The sequence below is a fragment of the Homo sapiens genome, chromosome 10 (assembly GCF_000001405.40).
Source record: "Homo sapiens chromosome 10, GRCh38.p14 Primary Assembly".
NCBI lineage: Eukaryota > Metazoa > Chordata > Mammalia > Primates > Hominidae > Homo > Homo sapiens.
The window spans coordinates 113833679-113855895 of NC_000010.11; the positions used below are offsets into that span (position 1 = coordinate 113833679).

The 22217-nt window shown below is 38.3% G+C and overlaps 2 protein-coding genes across 6 annotated transcripts in view, besides 3 other annotated features; one reads left to right on the forward strand and one right to left on the reverse strand.

The window, feature by feature from the left end:
- Nucleotides 1-1046: 1046 nt before the first annotated feature.
- Nucleotides 1047-20716, reverse strand: DCLRE1A (DNA cross-link repair 1A). Of its 4 annotated transcripts, none has more exons than NM_001271816.2 (10): nucleotides 20676-20716; nucleotides 19045-20169; nucleotides 15302-16966; nucleotides 13524-13657; nucleotides 12007-12125; nucleotides 10426-10566; nucleotides 8665-8810; nucleotides 7728-7882; nucleotides 3384-3525; nucleotides 1047-1634 (listed from the first exon to the last, which is right to left on the reverse strand). In NM_001271816.2, the coding sequence occupies exons 2-10, from the start codon at nucleotides 19502-19504 to the stop codon at nucleotides 1474-1476; spliced, it is 3123 nt and encodes a 1040-aa protein (NP_001258745.1). In that variant the 5' UTR covers nucleotides 19505-20169; nucleotides 20676-20716; the 3' UTR covers nucleotides 1047-1473. The 4 variants fall into 4 exon arrangements, with proteins under 4 accessions (NP_001258745.1, XP_011538731.1, XP_006718153.1 ...); XM_011540429.2 differs by having other exon boundaries at nucleotides 20561-20716; XM_006718090.2 differs by having other exon boundaries at nucleotides 20476-20716.
- Nucleotides 17957-18176: an enhancer, noted in NCBI's record as "active region_4072". NCBI's record gives its function as "activates an Ori minimal core promoter by ATAC-STARR-seq in GM12878 lymphoblastoid cells {active_cell/tissue: GM12878}" and the evidence as "EXISTENCE:reporter gene assay evidence [ECO:0000049][PMID:35858748]".
- Nucleotides 20717-20982: 266 nt separating the features above from the next.
- NHLRC2 (NHL repeat containing 2) overlaps nucleotides 20983-22217 on the forward strand; it is a 62534-nt gene continuing 61299 nt past the window's right edge. For both annotated transcript variants that reach the window (NM_198514.4, XM_011539769.4), the window contains exon 1: nucleotides 20983-21372. In NM_198514.4, the coding sequence (NP_940916.2) occupies nucleotides 21195-21372 (178 nt within the window). In that variant the 5' untranslated portion in view covers nucleotides 20983-21194. The remainder of the gene's footprint in view (nucleotides 21373-22217) is intronic.
- Nucleotides 21093-21452: a silencer, noted in NCBI's record as "silent region_2838". NCBI's record gives its function as "represses an Ori minimal core promoter by ATAC-STARR-seq in GM12878 lymphoblastoid cells {active_cell/tissue: GM12878}" and the evidence as "EXISTENCE:reporter gene assay evidence [ECO:0000049][PMID:35858748]".
- Nucleotides 21463-22167: an enhancer, noted in NCBI's record as "NANOG-H3K27ac-H3K4me1 hESC enhancer chr10:115614900-115615604 (GRCh37/hg19 assembly coordinates)". NCBI's record gives its function as "activates a minimal SCP1, AML or CMV promoter by ChIP-STARR-seq in naive H9 embryonic stem cells {active_cell/tissue: H9 hESC(naive)}" and the evidence as "EXISTENCE:reporter gene assay evidence [ECO:0000049][PMID:30033119]".

Genomic DNA, 22217 nt, shown 5'->3' on the forward strand with positions numbered 1-22217 from the left:
TCTTATCAAGGACTGAGGTTGCTGGGTAGTATATTTACCCAAAGGTGTTGAAAACTTAGCCCACAGAAAAGCCTGGATCAGGATGTTTATAGCAGCTTTATTCCTCATTGCCAAAACTTGGAAGCAATCAAGATGTCCTTCAGTAGATGATGGATAAACAAACTGCGATACATCCATACAAAGGAATAGTACTCAGTGCTAAAAATAAATGAGCTATCAAGCCACAAAAAGATATGGAAGACCCTTAAATATTACAAAGTGAAAAAAACCAATCTGAAAAGGATACCTATTGTATGATTCCAACTACATGACATTTTAGAAAAAGCAAATATGGAGATAGCAAAAAGATCACTGTTTGCCAGGGGTTTGGGGGGATGGAAAAATGAATAAGCAGAGAAAAAAGGATTTTGGGGACAGCAAAAATTTTGTAGGATATTACAATGATGGATATGTCATTATACATTATACAAACCAAGGAATGTAGGACACCAAGAGTGACCTTAATGTAAATTGTGGACTTTGGGTGATTATGATGTGTCAACGTAGGTTCATCTCTTGTCACAAATGTACCATTCAGGTGAGCAATGTTGATCACGGGGGAGCTAAGCATGTGGGGGTGGCAGGAAGTATATGGGAAATCTCCATACCTTCTACTCAACTTTGCTGTGAACCTAAAACTGCTCTAAAAAATAAAGTCTTGGGCCGGGTGCGGTGGCTCACACCTGTAATCCCAGCACTTTGGGAGGCCAAGGCAGGCGGATCATGAAGTTGGGAGTTCGAGACCAGCCTGGCCAACATAGTGAAACCCCGTCTCTACTAAAAATACAAAAAATTAGCTGGGCATGGTGGTGGGCACCTGTAATCCCAGCTACTCGGGAGGCTGAGGCAGGAGAATCACTTGAACCCGGGAGGTCTCCCGGGAGGTTGCAGCGAGCCATCGCACTACAGCCCAGGTGACAGTGCGAGACTCCATCTCAAAAATAAATAAATAAATAAATAAAATAAAATCTATTAAAAACAAACAAAAAAAACAAAAGACACCAGAGCAAATTTTATATTAATTTTATTTAAGTATACACGTCATATAAAAGTTTCATCTCATAATTTTAAAGACACATAATTACTTATATATATAATGCTTCAAACTACTTTATTAATTATCATTAATCCTTTTGGTCCCTGAATCTGCCTTTGCTTCCTCTTCTAAGGCTTGATGCAGAATATAACTGCCCATGGAGGGCAGGGGACAAGAAATTAAGGGTCCCAGGGAGACCCAGTTTCAGTTATCCTTGATGATGCTGAGAGGCATTCAGCACCACGAACATGTTGTTCAAACATAAATGAGAAAATAAAGTATCTGAACAATCTTCATGAGGTTTTTCCACACAAAGTGTATTTCACATTTCTATAGATTTAACTACTAACAAGCTACATCCAAGGAACTTAACTACTACTGAATCCTCGGAGGTATCATCAATATCCAGCTTCCAATTTCCACTCTCTAAAATATTTCTCCATTGTGCTCCTAGATTTCCAGGTGCCCACATTTACAGTAGGTATGATTTTCTGGGGCTTCAGCCACTGGACAAAGCGCTTCATTTCTAGGTAGCTGCTGTGTTCACTGTAAGGAATTCCTGTAACAAAAAATAAACGAATTTGTACACTAAAATCAAACTAATTTAAACTTTCACAATCCTAAAATAAAATAGAATAAAACAAAAGAGAAAAGCAATCCACAGTATTTTTGTCAAAAACCCCTCAGTGCTTTAGTTCTGAAAAGAAAACTTGTTGATATCTTTTATGAATAATAAAGATTAAGACATTAAAATGATACCAATACGGTTTGGCTCTGTGTCTCCACCCAAATCTCATCTCAAATTGTAATCCCTATGTGCTGGGGGAGGGGCCTGGTGGGAGGCGATTGGATCATGGGGGCAGATCTGCCCCTTGTTGTTCTTCTGATAGTGAGTTCTTGGTCAGGCATGGTGGCTCACGCCTGTAATCCCAGCACTTTGGGAGGCCGAAGCGGGCAGATTACCTGAGGTCAGGAGTTCGAGGCCAGCCTGGCCAACATGGTGAAACCCCGTCTCCACTAAAAATACAAAAATTAGCCAGGCGTGGTGGCACATGCCTGTAATCCCAGCTACTCGAGAGGCTGAGGCAGAAGAATTGCTTGAACCCAGTAGATGGAGGTTGCAGTGAGCCGAGATCGTGCCACTGTACTCCAGCCTGGCGACACAGCAAGACTCTTGTCTCAAAAAATTAAAAAAAAATAATAAGATAGTGAGTTTTCAGGAGATCTGATGGTTTGAAAGTGCGTGGCACTTCCCCCTTTGTGCTCTCTCTCACTCTCCTACTCCGCTAGGATAAGATGTAAGATGTGCTTGCTTGCCCTTTGCCTTCTGTCATGATTGTAAGTTTCCTGAGCCCTCCCAGTCATGCTTCTTGTTAAGCCTGTGGAACTGAGTCTATTAAACCTCTATTATTCATAAATTACCCAGTTTTAGATAGTTCTTTAAAGCAGTGGGAGAATGGACTAATACAGATATGAAACTTAGAACATTCAAAAATCGATTACCTTATTGCGTGTATACTTAATAACATGCATTTCCAGAGAGTCCTATTTAATTAGGTTTTTCTTATTAAACAATTCTTCCTTTAGACACTTTACTTAGCTACAGGTTTCAGGAAAATATGGAAGAAATATGAGTCAAATGTGAAGAATAACAAGCAGGAGACTCTCACTTCCAGAGCAGGTAAGCAGATTTGTCCCCAAGCTTTGCACACATAAAAAAATAGGAAAAAAAGAAAAAATAACACACCGTTTATCTTCTTTGTTGAAGATCAAGTACCACAGAGAAAGGTGAAAAGGGTCCTATTTTCAGTATACTAGGGTCTTCAGAGGCTGAGGGTAAATCACTGGTCTGGTGACACCCCAAACATGTTTCCATCAGCTGTCACTGCAATAAGCCAACTCAGAAGGCAGTAGTAAACCTCCCTCAAGGATGAAAACAGGCAAGTCTGTATCTCCTGCTGTCACCACATCTAACCCATCATCTTCCCGCTCCCAATCTCACATTGTCATCTATACTTCCAGTATACAACCACAGTAGTCCTTTCAAGTTAATTCTGCGATTTCCTCTCAATATCACTGATCACAAAGTGAAATGATCTGTATTCATTAATGTCTATCTACTAGTCAAGCTCCTTTATATCAGTTTACAATGGACTAGATACAGGATTAGAGTTGTAGAGAGATGAAAACTCTTGAATTATTAAATTCTTTGGTGCCTGTTTTTGTTGGATTTGAACCTTATTACATTTTTTAAAATGTAATTATAAACATTATAAACACTAAAAGTGAGAAAATTTAATAACTATACCATATATTGAAATGTTTCCTTTGGTCTGGGGAATAACATCTGCTATTCTAGTGAACTTGTTAGAGTGTGTCCATCCTGTAGGTCGAAATGCCAAAATCTGATTGTATTTCCCACCACACTTCTTCAAATGACTCTGTAAGCCCTGTTAAATTAAAATAGCATATTGAGGTCAATGGAGACGAGTTATATGGAATAAAACAGACTGATTAAAGATGTTATACTGGCACAGGCATGGGGAGTTTTCATTTTTAAGCATTAGCTTCAACAACCTAGTGCTATGCTTCTAAAAAATAATCACTGAAAAAAAAATATATAAAATATTTTCTCCTTTACTTATCTGAAGTTAAACAAGTACAGTCTGGAAAAAAAAGTATAGCGAGACAACTTTAAACACAAGTAATTAGGTATAAACAAATTACAATTCTGATAGCTACCAAAAACAAAAACAAAACTACTCTCCAAATCTTACTCTACAGAGATAATAATATCAACAATGGTAAACACCAATGCAAACATATCTCCATGCATATACATCAAAAGGGGATAGCTAGGTGGATAGAAATAATTTTATGTGAATGGCATTATACTCAACACAGAGATACATTTTACAGCTGCTTAATAGCATTCTTTTCAGGTGTTTATGCCTTTTACCCTTTAAACATGAACTAGATTTATTTTAAAACTTTTCATACCACTATTGTTGGAAGTAATATGCTCCCCTTATAAGTCTTGAGTAGGATAGAACTTCCCCAAACTAAAGTAATCATAAATGATGACATTTGATAAAACTCTTAGAAAATCAATGACTGAAGTTCAGTCTTCGAAAGATAACAGAAATCCAGTTACAAATAATAATGGCACGAGGGATACAAAAAAATCTAATACTTTTGGTCTGAGGACTAAAATCCATAGTTTCAAAGACTTAGAATGAATAATAAAATTCATTTTATTGATGAATTGGTAACAATCCTTTAATCTTTTGTATCAAATAAGAGCCTTTTATTAATTAGAAGTGAATATAAAAATACCTACCATAAGACAACCATATTTCTTACCAATTACTATGCACACCAAAAAAAAGTTAAAGTTATTGATATGTAACTAAATTTCCATTTCAATATTCTTGGCTCTGCAAATTTGCAAGTTTTTGCCTTGCTTACTCTAGGACCTAGTTAATGTAATATTATTTGTTTAATCACTATTCCTTCTGCCCTTGTCCTCACAAAGAAAGAAAATAATAAGAAACTGAGGTTTAGAGTAACTATACATATAATACATAAACTGAGTCCAACTTTCAATACACATCATCAAACCTGTCCATTCCTATTTGTCTCTGCAAAACCATCCAGAAGAATTAAATGATAACTAATATTTGCTTTTTGTGGGACAAATTGGAGTTACCACAAAAACATCATTAGCTTGTACCATAAACAAAAACTTTGGATACTATCATATAAGCCAAATCTACAGAAAAAAAGACTACCAGCAGCTACAAATAGTCCATTAACCACAATCTGAGAACTATTCTCATGAGGAAATTTATTAAGAATACTTTAGTCAATATGAAATCCCTGATTTATGACTTGTCTCTCTCCGTTTATTGGTAACCAGTTTGGGAGAAAAACACTTTTAGCAATGTTACTAGAATTATTTTTTCAGCATGCAAATAATCATCTATAACATCATTGTTATAACATTTTACCACAATCAATCAATCAGGTTTAAATCAGGTGATAGTCAACTACGTAGCACATACGTGAACTTGGGATGTTGAACTAGATAGCATGAATTGTATTTATAGCCTTTCAAAGGCTTTCAGGCATGCCCTGGGCACCTTGAAAACTGTATTAGGATTACCTTTTCACAGAAAGTAATTATCTCTCATGAAACACAACTTTTGGCTGGTAAAAAAAAAAAATTGGCTCTAATTACAAACATCAGCTTCTGCTCCATCTGCGTTTTGGAGGTAAGAAATCTTCCGAGGCCGGGCGTGGTGGCTCACGCATGTATTCCCAGCACTTTGGGAGGCCAAGGCGGGCAGATCACGAGGTCAGGAGATTGAGACCATCCTGGCTAACACGGTGAAACCCCATCTCTACTAAAAATAGAAAAAATTAGCTGGGCATGGTGGCAGGTGCCTGTATTCCCAGCTACTCGGGAGGCTGAGGCAGGAGAATAGCATGAACCCGGGAGGTGGAGGTTGCAGTGAGCCAAGACCATGCCACTGCACTCCAGCCTGGTGGACAGAGCGAGACCCTGTCTCAAAAAAAAAAAAAAAAAAAAAAAAAAGAAATCTTCCGAAAATATTTGGGTAAATGAGGGACAGGGGAGGAAAAAAAACTTTTCACAATATGCCATTTTATAGTTTTGTTTTTTAACGTTGTGAATGTATCATCTATTCAAAAACATTTTAAATACATATTTCCATTATCATTGCTAGAATGTTTAATAAACAAATATTAAAAGAAAAAAAAGAAGTCTTCAGAAAATGTGATCAATACCCAGTCACTTTAATGGAGGAAGAGGAGGGACTACTGAAGGCAATACCAGTAAATATCCATTCTGGTATTACATAGTTGCTTGGGTCAGTGTGGAGGACAAGAAGATATAGACTTCACTTTCTGCGAGCTTACAGCCTAGTGGGCAGGAGGTCAGTAAACCTCACCTTCTAATGGAAACCACCTGCCCTTTCTCAGCTTTTTCTATCTCTCATCATCTATTACACCATTAGCAGCTAGGAGCCTTACAGACTGACCTTTTCACAAAGAACTTGTGTTTTATTATAAAATCCTAGACGTGGAAACATACAGACTTGACGACTATCAAAAATATAGATTTAATGACTCCAGGTCACTCCTCCAAGGACACTAGCCTCAAAAAATCATTCAAAATCAACATTCCTGAGTTATTAAAAACCAACTTGAATTCCTGTATTAAAAAGTTATGCTTAGGCCAGGCATGGTGGCTCACACCTGTAATATCAGCACTTGGGGAGGCTGAGGCGGGCAGACCACTTGAGCTCAGGAGTTTGAGATCAGCCTGGTCAACATGGTGAAACCCCATCTCTACTAAAAATACAAAAATTAACCGGACATGGTGGCACATGCCTGTAATTCCAGCCACTCAGGAGGCTGAGGCATGAGAATCGTTTGAACCTGGGAGGCAGAGGTTGCAGTGAGCCAAGGTTGCACCACTGCACTCCAGCCTGGGCAACAGGGCGAGACTCTGTCTCCAAAAAAAAAAAAAACAACAAAAAAAAAAGTTTGAGTTTGTAGTAGTGAAAATCTAAATCTTGTTTAAGTTGGGATTTGTAAATATATGCTGTCTACAAGAAGGCCATATGCATCAGAACGCAGTCTGTAGAGTGGTAGGTTGTGACGGAACTGTCAGAGAGGAAGAGGTGGCCCTCTTCCTGTTCAAAGTGGATGCGCTTCATTACCTATTTTTCAGATCTTGCTCAGAAATCTTACTTCATCAATTATTCTCTTATCTTAGATTCTCCCTGTCCATTAAAACATAAAAATCCTCATCTCTGATGGCTAACAGACAAGCAACCCTCCTCCCTTTGGCCATGAAAGTATCCAGCTCCTCTTCACACCATGCTCTAGTCTTCCTGTCTCCATTGCCTCACCTCTCATTCATTCTTTTTATTTCATAAACACAATAGCAAATGTGAAAATACATTGTTTCATGCATTATGTTCTGAATTTATTTTAATATACAGGTTTGATGTATTCAATTGCCAGGTGTCAAAATGTTAGTATATGGAATAAACGTTAGTTAGTATATGAATAAGTCTGACAAATAAGCCCCCAAATCCCAGCAAGGTCATATCATACGTCTTAACTTACACCTTGGAACTAATGCTCAAACTTCCTCTTAGGATACACTTCCACTATTTCATTTAATTGTCGCAACAAGTAAATTTTCAATATTTATCAATCTAGAAAGGCTTAATATTAATACAGAATAGAATAGACCTGAAGTAAACTAAGAACTTCTTAGATTCTTCACTCATTTCCCCACTCACCCAGAAAGAACTGGAAAATGATCTTAAAAATTGAAGGTTTGAATGACCAGATAGCTGCATACCTTTCCATTTTTGTTCCTTCCTATATATTAGTTCTCTAGCTCCTAAACTTCTGGTGGGCATATGAATTACTCTACAGAGTTGCACATCTAGAAAAACTATGAACATTTAAAATTCCTCTTAAAAGATTGTCTAGGGCAAATTTTACTATGGGTGACTCTATTATAATTGAATTCCTCTAAGTTAAATGAAGCTTAAAATAATCAGATTACCTTTTTTGTTCATCCTAAAAGACATATCTCTTGAATGCTTACCTTAAAATTAATTTGCATCATTGGGAGAAGGTGAACCAATGAACTGCACATGTCGGTAGTGATGAGTGAATTAATTTCTGGTATATTGAGGCACTGTAGAGTTTTATATTTTTCCTGGGACATGCCCACTTTTGAACCTAAAACATCAGCAATGGCTATGGGCAAAAGAAAAGATTAAAAATAGTAAACTTACAGCTTGTGAAAAAAAGTTACAGCTTAAGCAAATTTTAAGGTAAGAATTTACCAAATAAAAGGAAATTCAAAACATTCACACTTTTACCATGATATCTCAAAAAGGCTGAATCATTTTGTTAGTTTACTGTGTGGAATGAATTGTGAGAAAACTAAATAATTTATTTTTAAAGGCTTATTATTTACTATTTAAAAACTGCAAAAGTGTATAGAAAGTGGGTAGAGGAAGGGAAGGAACTAAATTTGAAGAAATTAAAAGCCCCAGCTTTATCATCTTTAATGTTTGATATAATGTGGCCATACGTAAGAAGAAATGGAAAGTATTTTGCAAATTAGTACAATACTACCTGGACAAACTAAGTTATACATCCAGAAATCATTTAGGAACAAAAATTAAAACTGATTGCCAATGTAATTATTATCCTCAAAGAATGCAGCAATACAACTATGCATTAATCATCTTTCAAAGTTTACTAAATAACAATGTAGCATGGGCAGCTGCTCTATAAATTTCTTATATCTAGAAAGCCTAAATTAAACACAATTATCAAATGTTTCCCTAAAGTCAAACCTTTCAAAGATTAAATGTTTCAAACTGTCAAATTTTCCTTCAACTTCAAAGGTAATATTGAATCATTACAGGAAATAATTATCAAATGCAAGAGTAGAAACTGAAAGGGCATTATGCAAAAAGAATCTGATCTTTATAATATATTAATGTAAATTAGATACACCTACAACTCACCTAGGAAGACTTTCTCTTTTCCAATAGAGTAAGTGCCACAGACAACAAGAGCATGTGGGTTTAGAGTTACAGCCTCAAAGGCAGTGTTGATGGCAAACCGGATAACCTCTTGCTGAGATGGAAAGGTGTATTCTGGGCTACAATATCTGTGGTATGGAAACATGGTACTTACTAAAAGAACAATAAAAAAGCCATCACCTTAAGCTGGATGCTATTTTAGAAAACAAGCGTTAGCAACTTACATACAACAGCAATGTAATATATTAATACCACAAGTTATCTCACTGCCTGTGGTTGGAATTATTTGCCAGTTACTACTAACTTAAGATCAAATTGTAAGTTTTCAATATATCTTTTTCATTATATTTCTTTTATCACTCTCAAAAAATTGTCTTTTTGAAGACTTTTTTCCTCCAAGAATATTTCTAGCAAGCCAGCTATTTTAGTTATAAATTATAAACCTCACTGTCTTTTATTTAACTCCAAACACTATCAAAAAATCATATTGATAAGGATTATATTTGGACTAAAGACTGTCAATAAAAAATGATTAAAGTAATGAAACTAAATATGAATTTAGTGAAACAGTTTTAAATCAGTTAATATTGACATGGTTGATATTAATATCATTTCTTACAGATACAAAATATATATACTATGTGTATATATATGTACATGTGTACACACACACACACACACACACACACACACACACACACACACACAGATACATGCAAATACAACAGATCCAGTTGGGTCTATCTCCATGCAATATAACCCAGTGAAAAATTAAGCTACTATCTATCTATCTATATTTGATATGAAAAGTAAGCACTTTTTCACTAAAAATGTAATAAACTGCAAAAGCCAAAGAAACATATTTTTCCCAATTTTCAGAATTGTTTTGCTAGTCAACTACTAGAGAAGAGTAAGAATAACCTTTCTCCTATAACAACCCATGAGGAAATTCAGAATCGTATCAGAATAGAACTAGGTAACAAAAAAGGGTTTTTTTAAAAACTTATTTTCTTAATTTATCCAGTGCTTAAAACTCATATAGAAGAATGGAAAAACCAGTTATAGTGTGAGAAAACTGGATGCGGAAAGACCATCTTTTACTAAAATATTGCATCCAAACGTACTTCTCCTTGAAACAGGTTGAAATGGTTAAGATAATTTCTAACAAGTTGATGAGATATTTTAATATATAAAATCACATCATACACCAGAAATATATACAATTTTTATTTACTTAATAAAGCTAGGGAGAAATACATACACAGTTAAAATGTAATGGCTTGTGCCATTATATTTATAGCACTCAGGAATTCAAAACTGTCACTTATAAATTATCTTTTTAAGAAAAGAACAACAGCAAGTTTGGATACTCAAAAACAGAATCACATTTTGACCTCTGTCTTCTCTTCACAATTAATAGCTACACAGTTACTCTGAAAGGACAACTTAAAAGGGTGTCTTCCTAAAGTTTGCTCCTAAGTTTTTCTTCCTTGTTTTAGTAACAGGATTCTCATGTAACATATTTTCAAAAATAAATCACACAAAAAAATGAGCTGTAGTCAGTTAACACATACAATCTCAAATTTGCCCTTAAGCAAGTATATACATATTTTTCAAACAGCATCCCTCTGATAAAGAGCCTTAAAATAATAATTGGCAATAAGCCATCATTTTGATAACCATAATACAGAGAGCAAAGGCTGTCAGTGGGAAAAGGAAACACACAAAAAAAGCCTCTCTTACGTGGTATCTAAGTACAGCATATGGACTTTCTGGTCCGCAAGAAGAGAACGTTCCATGCTGGGATCTGCTCTGAAGTCTCCCGTGTGTAATATGACAGTACCATTAGGAAGATAAAAGAGGATCATGACAGCACCTGGACAGCTGAACACAAATGTCAAAGGAATGTTCATAACACAGGCAAGCACCTAAAGGAACAGTATCTATTTCAATATCAACAAGTTAGCACGCTTTATTAGCTGACCACAATGACATAGCATTGCACTACAGGAAATGCGGCACTTCAACTCAAGGAAATTTACATCATAAAAAGAACTGGTGTGCAGGAAAGGCAGACCCAGGTTGCTCAAACTCCAAACATTCCCAAGAAAAGCATGTCTTCAGGACTGGCCCTTGGCTGGCTCCTAGGAAATGAACTCTGAACCCTAGGAATATTATGCCTGGTAAGACTGTTTTGTATGCCTGAGACATTGAACTATGTGATACTAGCTTGACGCTAACTTTGTGATCTATGGTGAAAACCCCATAAAGTTGACTTTAAAAATCAGAACTCGGCCAGGCATGGTGGCTCACGCCTGTAATCCCAGCACTTTGGGAGGCCGAAGCGGGTGTATCACCTGAGGTCAGGAGTTCGAAACCAGCCTGGCCAACATAGCAAAATCCCGTCTCTGCTAAAAATACAAAAATTAGCCAGGTGTGGTGGTGTGCGCCTGTAATCCCAGCTACTTGGAAGGCTGAGGCAGGAGAATCACTTGAACCCGGGAGGCAGAGGCTGCAGTGAGCTGAGGCTGTGCCATTGCACTCCAACCTGGGCAAAAAAAGCGAAACTCTGTCTCAAAAAAAAAAAAAATCAGAATTCAAACTGGCAATTAAAAAAAAAAAACAGTAGCAAAGTTAGCAGACAAAAACTTAAAGGCAACCTAATGTAATAGCTTGGCCTGGATTTTAGGTAACCTAGATTTAGTCTTCTTTCTCTTCATCTATGACCTCTATGTTACAGTGGGCTAACATTCTATGGAAAGTAGAAAGAAGCAGAGTTGACAGTTGTGTTTTGACAACATGAATGCTGATAGTACTTTATATTAAAAGAAAAAAAGAGGGAAAAATGGAGGCCATTTCCAAGAAAAAAAAGTCTTCCAAACCTTTAATATCTAAAGCCTGAATGATTTCTTAGTTTAAAGAGGGGTAGGGGGAGATAAAACCGACCTCTAGTATCTGAATGGAATACAAGCTGTTAATTTATGTAAATGATAAATGATACTAAAGAAAATGGCAAAATGTTATCTTGCAAAGAACAGCAACAACATGTTAAAGTATTTTAAAAAATAAGATGGAATCTCAGATGTCAAGTGTAGTAATTTAAACTGGATAAAAAATGGGTTAGATAACATTTAGAAGATCCCTTTACTTTTCATCTCTGATTCTATAATTGGGCACATTATTTTTCAAAAGGAGAAACATCTTACTCAAGTTTTAAGAAATATCAAGCATATTAATTATAATGAAAAAAGTTATTAATCATGCCAATGTGTTGTCCTTTTGAACATTTAAAAAATGTGCTATTAAGATGACTTTAATACTTACTGATTGGCATCAAGCAAAACAACTTTGACACCATTCACAATACATTCAGTGTCCAGTGGCAATGGGTGAATATATTGTTCTTGCACATGAAGCTTGTTCTTCAACAAATTGCCAGTTATCTGCAAAACAGGACGTGCTTATTGCTGATGCAGTAAAACACTAAATATTTTATTTCATATCTAGTTTAGAACCATAGCATCTTAATAACATCCATTTTCCTACTTATATTTAAGTAAACACTCCACAATGCCAGGAAGAATTTCCTATAATGGCTGTGCCACTACTCTGCTTGAAAATCGTCACTGACTTCGCCTCATCTGTGAAGAGTCCATCCTTCCCACCATGACATACAAAAGCCTGAGTGATCTGGTTCCAGCCCATTCCTGTGGGTTTGTCTCCTGTTATTCCCTACCTTGTGTTCTAGCCATTTTGAATTATCTCAAGTGCCTGGAATGGGCATATTTCTCAGGTGCCTGTGCCTTTACATAAACTTTACTCTCTACCTAGAATGCTCTTTCCTCTGCCTGGTCCTGGAATCAGACAGATTTGCATACAAGTTCAGACTCTGCCATTTTTAGCTCTGTGACCTGGGGCACGTCACTTAACTTCTCCAAACCCCAGGTGTTTCATTAATAAAAAGAATTCCTGAAGCATGCTTCAAGAATGCTGTGAAGATTAAATCAAATTCTAGTTCAAGCCCTTAGTAATGAGCATTAAAATGTTCACTTTTTAATAATTAGTTCGAGGTATCTTTTACCACAAAACTGTGTCTAACCTTAGCCCAGGACAGGATAAAGCACTCTCTTCTCCCTACTCCTAGGGAGTACTACTTCTATTATGATACCAATCCCAATATGGCATTATTTATGAATGTTTCCTCTGGAGGTTATAAGCTCCTTGAAGCTCGATACAGTCATGTCCCTCAGTATCTGCAGGGGACTGGTTCCAGGACCCCCTGAGGACACCAAAATCTCAGGATGCTCAAGTCCTTTATACAAAATGGCATAGTATTTGCATATAACCTATGCATATCCTCTTTAAATCATCTTTAGATTAATTATAACACCTAATACAATGTAAATTCTATGTAAATAGTTGTTATACTATATTTTTTAATTTGCATTATTTTTCATTGTATTATTTTTTATTTTTGAATCTTTTCGGTTGCGGTTGGTTGAATCCATGGATAGGGCACTCACAGATACAGCAGGCTGACTGTATTTTGCCTTGAGAATCCATTTAGGCTTTCAGTGAATGTTAACTAAATGAAATTTCTTGTTTTTAGTACATCGTGAAATAGTTTATCTTTTGTTTCCATGTAATAAGACAGATGTTTTCTAAAAACTGAAACTTGACATCAACTCGTTTTAAGTTTAGGACTTTTATGTGGAATATGTTTTCTCATTTTTTTTCTAGTAGAATGAAAGATCTTACTGGTTTAATTATTATTTTTTAACCAAATTGCTTAGAAATTCACAGCATTCTACAAAGTCAAAAGTTAGAATACTAAAACTTACCTCACTACAATAAACTGGAAATGTGAAGTGTTTAGACAATCCAGCATAATGATCAGAATGAAAATGTGTGAGAAAATAGGCTGTGCAACCTTCAACCACGCCATACTGAAAGGCATCAACTGTAAAGCCGGTTCCTGCAATAAAAATACCGACACAGTAGGTTGAGCAAGAGCTAAGATACCCAATTTGATTATAAATACTGAATGAACCCTCTATCCTCTTTACCTCTTATTTCCAATTTAACTATATTTAAAAACTTATATCACATAAATTTAACAAAAGGTAACACTAAAGATGAGAATGTCTTAAAAGTTTCTACCAAGTATCTCAGTATAGAGACTTTTATTTGTGAATAATTGCACCAAAAAAAATTTTTTTAAATTCTAGGTTACAAACCAATTACTTCTTTGTTTTAACTAATACTTTCATAATACTTAGCACTTTACTTCTGCAAAACAGCAAAAGGAGAATGCTAACTTTCTTCTAAAACATGAATTCTCAATGGGGGCAGTATTGATCTAAGGAAGCCAAAATGGTTGAGGGCCAACATAATCTCACATATGAGACAAACAACGTATCTACCATCTTTGAATTTTGCTGCACAGTCGAACTAGAGGAGGGGGTGGGAAACAAGAAAAAAAAATGCCTAAAAAGGCTCCTTAGAGGAGCAGTAATGAAGAAGAGGTTGAGAAATACTGTTCTAAAATGTGCTCATGCAAGAAATAATTAAGTGTACTGACTGGCGATGTGCAAATAAATAAGCATAACTTCCCAATTCTATTGAGGCTTATCAACACATGGTTTTAGGATCATTTAAAGTATAGAAAATTGGCCGGGCTCGGTGGCTCACGCCCGTAATCCCAGCACTTTGGGAGGCCGAGGCGGGCGGATCACGAAGTCAGGAGATCGAGACCATCCTGGCTAGCACGGTGAAACCCCGTCTCTACTAAAAATATGAAAAAAAAATTAGCCGGGCGTTGTGGCGGGTGCCTGTAGTCCCAGCTACTTGGGAGGCTGAGGCAGGAGAATGGCATGAACTCGGGAGGTGGAGCTTGCAGTGAGCTGAGATCGCGCCACTGCACTCCAGCCTAGGCGACAGAGCGAGACTCTGTCTTTAAATAAATAAATGAAGTACAGAAAATTAATCAAAATAATTATTAAAAACACCACTGATGTTATGAAGTATATAAATGCTATTCTTTACATAAATACATTGAACAAATTATAGATCTAGAACATCAATAAAGCACTTTAAAAATCTTTCAGCAACCAAGTATATTTTGGCAGCAACCAAAGTATATGAAAGGGCAGAGAAACTAAGTTCTAATACGGTTTTAAAATTTTTGGCATTTACTATGATATGTAAAACCTGTGACATTTCCCATCTTTGAAACTATTTAGTACTTTGTATTTCTCACAAGCACTTAGAGGCTGCCTTTTATTATAGTTATTTACAGAGATGCCTTTCCTCCTTTCATATTAAGCTGAATCCCTATTCCTCTCTTACTAATCTTTCTATAGCCCGTAATATCCACCTAACTAGTATAGTCACTTACATAGAGGGCATGTTTAATAGAAACTTGATGAATTGAATGGAGCAAAAAAAATCAAATAGGCAAAAACCATATCTACGTTAGAGGCTCATGAAGTATCACAAAAGCAAAGGAAACACATACAAAAAATTGTCTCATACACACACACACACACAATGGGCAATAAACACAAAGTTCAAAAACGTTGTCTTTGTTGATATATCGAGTATTGACATTTCAACTTACCAGGTATTTTCTTATAGAATGGACATGTCTTTTTTCTTGATCCTCCTACATTAGATGACTCTGGGATTTTCTTGTTGCCCCTTTGCAGCCCACCATGAGCTGATTTTGTGAAGACTTTGACTTTACTTAAATTGACTGCTTCAGATTCTGTATTAATAAGGTGATCTGATCTCTTCTGACACGCTCCTTCCTGCAGTGAATTTGACTTTCTACATCTCTTTTTTTGACGCTGTGACCTCTCACTAGAAAGTTCCACAGAAAGCTGACTCTCATGTAAAGTACTTGCATCAAATTCTAAATCACTTAAAGATTTTTCTGCTTTCCTCTTGCACTGCGAGGACCTCTTTTGATTAGGACTTGGAACTGGATTTAAGTTTATCCCTTCTAATGCACTTTCCCCTAGCAATTTCTCTTCCTTTCTTTTGGGAGGTAGTCCAAAATACACACCTATATCCATTTGCTTCATTACCTTGGTAGAAGGATGTCTTGCATTATACTTAAGACCAGAAGGCAATATTTTCAAATACTTCGGAGCAGGTGTACTAGACAAGTTTTCTGTATTTAAAATTGTAGCTTTACCAACTGGCACACCCTCTAATGCCTTTCTGCAGAAACATGCTGAGTTAGTATTATTCTTAGCATTCAAGTTCTCACTTGATAATTTTCTAATTGTATTTTGGGTTGGTTGGGAAGAAAGATACCCTTCTACCTGACTTTCAAAAGGTTTCAACATTAAACTCTTAACTAACGGAAGAGAAACTTGATTGTAAACAGATGATTCTTCAATTACCTGTTTCTGTTTATTTGATTGAGCTGAGTGAAATTCTGGCTCATCAGGTTTTGCTTTAGTTGCCTGATGAACAGAAGCAGCAAGCTTCCCTGCCAATGCAGGTGGAAACAACACAAAATCACCACCAGTACATGCCAGATCATAAGGCAAAGTACTCTCATTATTTTGAGAAATAGGTTGAGACAAATCATTTAGACTATTGAATCTATACAATCCTTCATCATACTTATCCCGAGTTAAGAAGCTGTTCACTTTGGGGCAGCTCTCATCCTGGTCCTTCAGTAAGGGACCATGTCGTTTTTTAAAAAAACCACAGCTGTCATCATCTTCTTCGAGGCTGCCATCTTTTGAGCTTTCGGTAAAAAACAGTTGTTCTTGTGAATCATCCGGTTTTTCATCGATATCATGAGTGTCTTCATCACTTTGAAGTGGAGAATAGGAGATTTCACAGTCACTGAAGTCATTTTCTGGCAATGGCAAATTTATGTGTTCTGAGTTGTTTGCAAGACGCAAAGCAACTCCCACTAGTTTGTCATTCTCAACAAAATCTGTAAATTGTAGAGCTTGTTGGGATGTTTGGATATGAGTAGAAATCTTTTCACTGGCTTCAGTCAGAGACGGAGACTTTTTAAAATACTGTGTCATCAATAAGGGATCATTTGAAACCGAGTTATCAGTTTGGTTCTGATACGAAGACCATCTTTCCTCAAGGCTACAAAGGACGCCTGACTTAGTCTCACTGAAACTGCCACCTGACGCAGGTGATGGGCTGCTAAAAGGATGATCACCAGCCCTGCTTTGAGCTAGCAGGAAGTGAGTGTATCTCTTGTAATGAAAAGGAATGGTTGAGGTACACAGAAGACCATCAGGACACTCTGAAATTTTAATAAAGAAAAAATATTACACGATCAAAGCATAGACTAAGCTTTGACAACATTAGCAGTATAAATTGGGTTCCATTATTTAATATCCACATTGCATATAATAAAAAGCAACAATTTTAATAAGATTAGTTATAATTGTTGATACACTGAACAAGTTTTAGATTCTATTCTAAGAATAGAATTTGAGAAATTGGTTAATTATAAGGCTTTACTAATTTGGAAACTATTCCCTATCATACTACCATGATTGAGAAACTTTCTATAAGCCATCTTGGTATATCCCTGTGTATGTTAATTTCCAGATTTATCAAAAAATGACACCTCCCTCCCCTCAAAAAAGATGTTATATTTGTTATATTAAATTAGAAAACTTCATGGCTTACAACCTAACTTAAAAATGCCTCTTAAAAGCATTTGTTATAGAATGGAATTTAATTCAAGAGCCATCTGAGAGTCTACTCAAAGGAGTTTAGTGAAAAACCAAAAGAAAAATTTTTTGAGGTGGCTTCATCTATATGACATTTTACCCTAAGGTCTTCAACCATGGACTCCAATTTCCATTCTTGATTTTCAAGTTACATGAAAGAAAATTACTAGCAAATTTGTGAGGTTTTCACTTGCTATCCTTTTCTGGGAAAGGCTAATGCCAAATTTAAAGAAGAGTTGTTTTTTTTCTGTATCTTCATGCAGTACTTTAAAATAACTACAGGTTAATAATAAAATGTATTCTGAATCATAGCTAACATGAAAGCCATATTGAGTATTTTTTTATTTTACTGAATTTTAACTTTTTCAGATTAAAAAAATCCATATATGGAATATAAATGATTTCAAAATATATAAATCATCACAACAACCTGTTCTCCATATGTATTCCAAGTAGGATTTTCTACATTAAATACTTATTACATATTTTAAAAGATAAAAAACATAGCATACTTTTATTATCATTTGACACGTTTTTTGTTAGAATCTTAATCACCTAGGACTCCTTCACAGTTCCTCTTCCTGTATACATAGCACGATGACTAAAACATAACCATATTTAGAAACCACATTATATCTATACTTTTTTTTTTTTTTTTCAGACAAGGTCTCCCTCTGTCGCCCCACCCAGGCTGGAGTGCCCTGGCATGATCACAGGGCCCTACAGCCTCGACCTCTTGGGCTCAGGTGATCCTCCCACCTCAGCCTTCCAAGTAGCCCACCACACCTGGCTAATTTTTGGTAATTTTTTTTGTAAAGATGGGGTTTCACCATGTTGCACAGGCTGGTCTTGAATTCCTAGGCTCAAGTGATCCGCCTGCCTCCACCTCCCAAAGTACTGGGATTACTGGCATGAGCCACTGTGCCCAGCCTATTTATAATTTTCTATGGAGTTCCATAATAACCACCAACTGGGGCCGGGCGCGGTGGTTCATGCCTGTAATACCAGCACTTTGGGAGGCCGAGGCGGGCAGATCACGAGGTCAGGAGATCGAGACCATCCTGGCTAACACGGCGAAACCCCGTCTCTACTAAAAATACAAAAAATTAGCCGGGTGCGGTGGCGGGCGCCTGTAGTCCCGGCTACTCGGGAAGCTGAGGCAGGAGAATGGCATGAACCTAGGAAGCGGAGCTTGCAGTGAGCCAAGATAGCGCCACTGCACTCCAATCTGGGCAACAGAGAGAGACTCCGTCTCAAAAAAATAAATAACCAATTGGACAAGTTATCTGACTTTTAAGAACTTTCATCTATAAAATGTCAATACTAGCTACCTTATATGGTGATTGTGAAAGTTGGGTAAGTAGACAGTGTGAAAGTACCCAGCATAGTAAGGATTCAGTTAACATTTATGGAAAATAATCCAGATACTTAGGAACTTTTATGAAATAACACAATGTATTTAAACTGTTTTCTAGTCTGCCATTTGCTTTACAATTATACCGTTGACTGGTATGGTGTTTCCCAGTGTCTCATCTCTCTTTTAGGTTACTGCTTGCCTTCCTTGTTTCACTGAATTGGTATGTCTGACCTAATGAAGACTTTTTAGATTATTTAGAAACTACTACGTTTTCTGCAGTCTTACCTGTTTCAGAGCGTGGTGGAGAATCCAAACATTCAAAAACATGCCATCGAGGTGTCTGCCCTATCAATGAGGAAAAAGGCATCTGGCAATTTGGACAGTATCCATCATAAACTGGACGTATCTTTGGGGACACGTGTTGGCTTTTTTGAGTTCTACAGAGTTTTCCTGGAGTAGTTTCCTTGTCTTGGGTCTGCTGAATACCATCTCCACAACTTGAATTCTGACTAGAAGCAACAGAAGTCTGACAACCTGCATTTCCAAGGGGCACTTCATGGTCCTTCACCTCTTTAGCTTCTGCGGCTCTTTTTCTGTTTCTACTCCGTTTTGACTGGTATTTTCCATCTGTTGCTTTTTCAACAGATTTTAGAATATTTTTAGAGCCATTATTTGGATCAACTCGTTTTGGTTTTCTTTTAGATTTGTATTCCCAAATGTCTTCTTCGGAAATGTCTTCTAACATGGCAAAATGATTTTATCATTCAAGAAGTATTAATCTTAAGTAAACTGAAAGTCCATTTCTTGTCACAAACAAAAAGTTATAGAATTATTTTGCTGAGAAAAAAAACAAAGGTAACAAAACCCCCACCAACTCAATGGGAATCTGCAGTGTTGGTAATGAACATATTGGCAAGCTACAAACCTTGTACCTGACAACACCTGCTATTCCATTTATACCACAATGAAACTAAGATAAACCTATCACAGGAGTAGCAACTGTGAAGTTCTCCATTATGGGTGCTATTTCATTCAAATATCTTGTCCTTTTCCAGGGCTTGATTCATAAAAATAATACTTCAAAAATTAAGCGCTAATGGCAAATATAGGTTCAACAGCTTAATCTTAGAACGAGATTTGTAACATTGTTATGAAGCTACTGTCAGTTCTTTCAAGTGGACAACCGTCCAAATAATTCATAAATCCAACCACAGTCCCTGGACAAAGGGCTTAACAGGTATCCCAAACACTAAATGACTATCTAACAAAACTAGTCACAACATAATCAAAGAGATGTGTAATTCGCAAAAAACTGCGAAGTCACTGCCCTCATCCACGACTAGTGGATACTCAACCACTTCAGTTTCCCGCGACAGTCCATGATCTTCCTCCAGCAGCAATGAACAATCCCTGCACAGTGAACAAAAAAAGTTGATATGTGAAAAAAGTTCAAATATGTGAAAGAGTGGGCTTGTATTGAGGTCTGACTCCGTATTGCACCCATGGTTCCGAAGGTGGCCAGCCCTCTGTCCACCTGACTCAAAACGGGGTCACACGCCAGCCTCTCCCTTATCTTTTGGCATTAGAGGCTGGGAGGCCAGGAAGCGGGGCCTTAATCATCTCCAGGTTAAGCATAGCGAGCTCCAAAAAGCCCTCAGAGTCCTGCCCTTCTGAAGACTCTAAGGCCCGCCCTCAAGGACCCTCACCGCCCCCCACCTGCCACTCGGCACCCCAAGGGAGCCGCTCCAGCTGCATCCGCTCCTCCCGGCACCCCCATCTAAAAATGTGTTCGCGCCCGCACTTTCAGCACTCCCAGATGACAAAACGCTGTGTTTGTGTATAAGTGAAAGCCACTCGCGCCAGTCACTTCCAGTTTACAAAGCCTTCTCTCTGGAGGTTATCCCTACCCGCTTTACCTTTAGGGTCTTGGCGGGAACAAGTTCCCGCTGCCAGTGCCGTGTCGAATCGGCGGATGCTGTTCAAAGAGAGAGACTTTAAAAATAATTTTTAAAAATACATTGCCCTTTTAAGTCCTACGGATTTATTGTATTTTATTTGTGTTCGAAAGTCCGCTAATTCCCAATGTGGAGGGTTGGGGATGTTTCCCTTAGCGCCTCTGGGACGCTGTCCCTAAGGCCTTATTCCATGTTGAATCTGACGCTCTCAATGTCCAGGCTCGGCTGCGGCGTGGGGACCGAAAAGGGGCGGGGTGGGTCGGACGGCAGTTTAATTACGTCCCCGGGAACTGCGCCGATTTGGACTTTTGGCACTTGGACCTATGCTTTAAAAAGAAAAAAGTGTCATTGGCGTGGAGTGGGGCTAGTGGAGGGTGAGGTGAATGCGCCGTTTGGAAACCACAGGACAGTGAACGTTTCGTCTCTCCCAGCGAGACTCTCCCGCGGGCCCGGCGGCCGCATCGGGAGCCCGGCGGAAACATGGCGGCGCCCGGAGGCCGGGGCCGCAGCCTCTCCGGCCTGCTCCCCGCGCAGACCTCGCTAGAGTACGCCCTGCTCGACGCCGTTACCCAGCAGGAGAAGGACAGCCTGGTCTACCAGTATCTGCAGAAGGTGGACGGCTGGGAGCAGGACTTGTCAGTACCCGAGTTTCCGGAAGGTGAGGGGCTGGCGTCGGGGTGGGGGCCCCTCCCGGCACCTCCCCTTCCTCGGGGACGGCGCCCTCCCGCGAAGCGGTGGGCTAGGCGGGTTTGTGCCGCTGGCGCCCCGGGGAGTGGCCCTTCGCCTAACTTGGGCCGCTGTTCGCGTGTTCTGCAATTCCCAGGGGTCCCCAAGCGGCCACCGACGGGGGTTTCCCTGGCACGGGGATCCACATACTCGTCTGTGTATCCTGAGTTCCGCCCGCGCCTGATATTAGCCAAGTGGACACTCCGTGAATATTTAGTGTCCCCGGTGGCAATGATTGCAACGTCCACACCATTCTGTCCATTCAATCTGGTTCCCCAGTGTCTTCTGGTCATCTTTCTGCATCATCTTGACATTTATTGATCACTTTTTCATGTATCACACACAGGGTTTTTTTTTGTTTTTTTTTGATACGGAGTCTCGCTCTGTCTCCCAGGCTGGAGTACAGTGGCGTGATCTTGGCTCACTGCAACCTCCGCCTCCCAGGTTCAGGCGATTCACCTGCCTCAGCCTCCGGAGTAGCTGGGACTACAGGCCCGCGCCACCACGCCTGGCTAGTTGTTTTGTTTTGTTTTGTTTTGTTTTGTTTTGTTTGTATTTTTAGTAGAGACGGCGTTTCACTATGTTGGCCAGGCTGGTCTCGACCTCCTGATTTCAAGTGATCCTCCCGCCTCCGTTTCCCAAAGTGCTGGGATTACAGGCGTGAGCCACCGCGCCCGGCCTGCCACACACAGTCCTAAACACTTGAGGGGATACCTAAACACTTGAGGAGATATTACCTTATTCAATTACCTCTATATCCCAGTGAGGTGCTCCTAT

What these genes read in the sequence shown, in the direction of transcription:
- DCLRE1A (NM_001271816.2), bottom strand. Translation starts at nt 19,504, where the DNA reads ATGTTAGAAGACATTTCCGAAGAAGACATTTGGGAATACAAATCTAAA. An exon ending in TCCACCACGCTCTGAAACAG is followed by an intron (nt 16,967 to 19,044) that starts GTAAGACTGCAG and finishes TTAAAATTTCAG; the next exon opens with AGTGTCCTGATGGTCTTCTG. An exon ending in TGATGCAAATTAATTTTAAG is followed by an intron (nt 3,526 to 7,727) that starts GTAAGCATTCAA and finishes TTAATTTAACAG; the next exon opens with GGCTTACAGAGTCATTTGAA.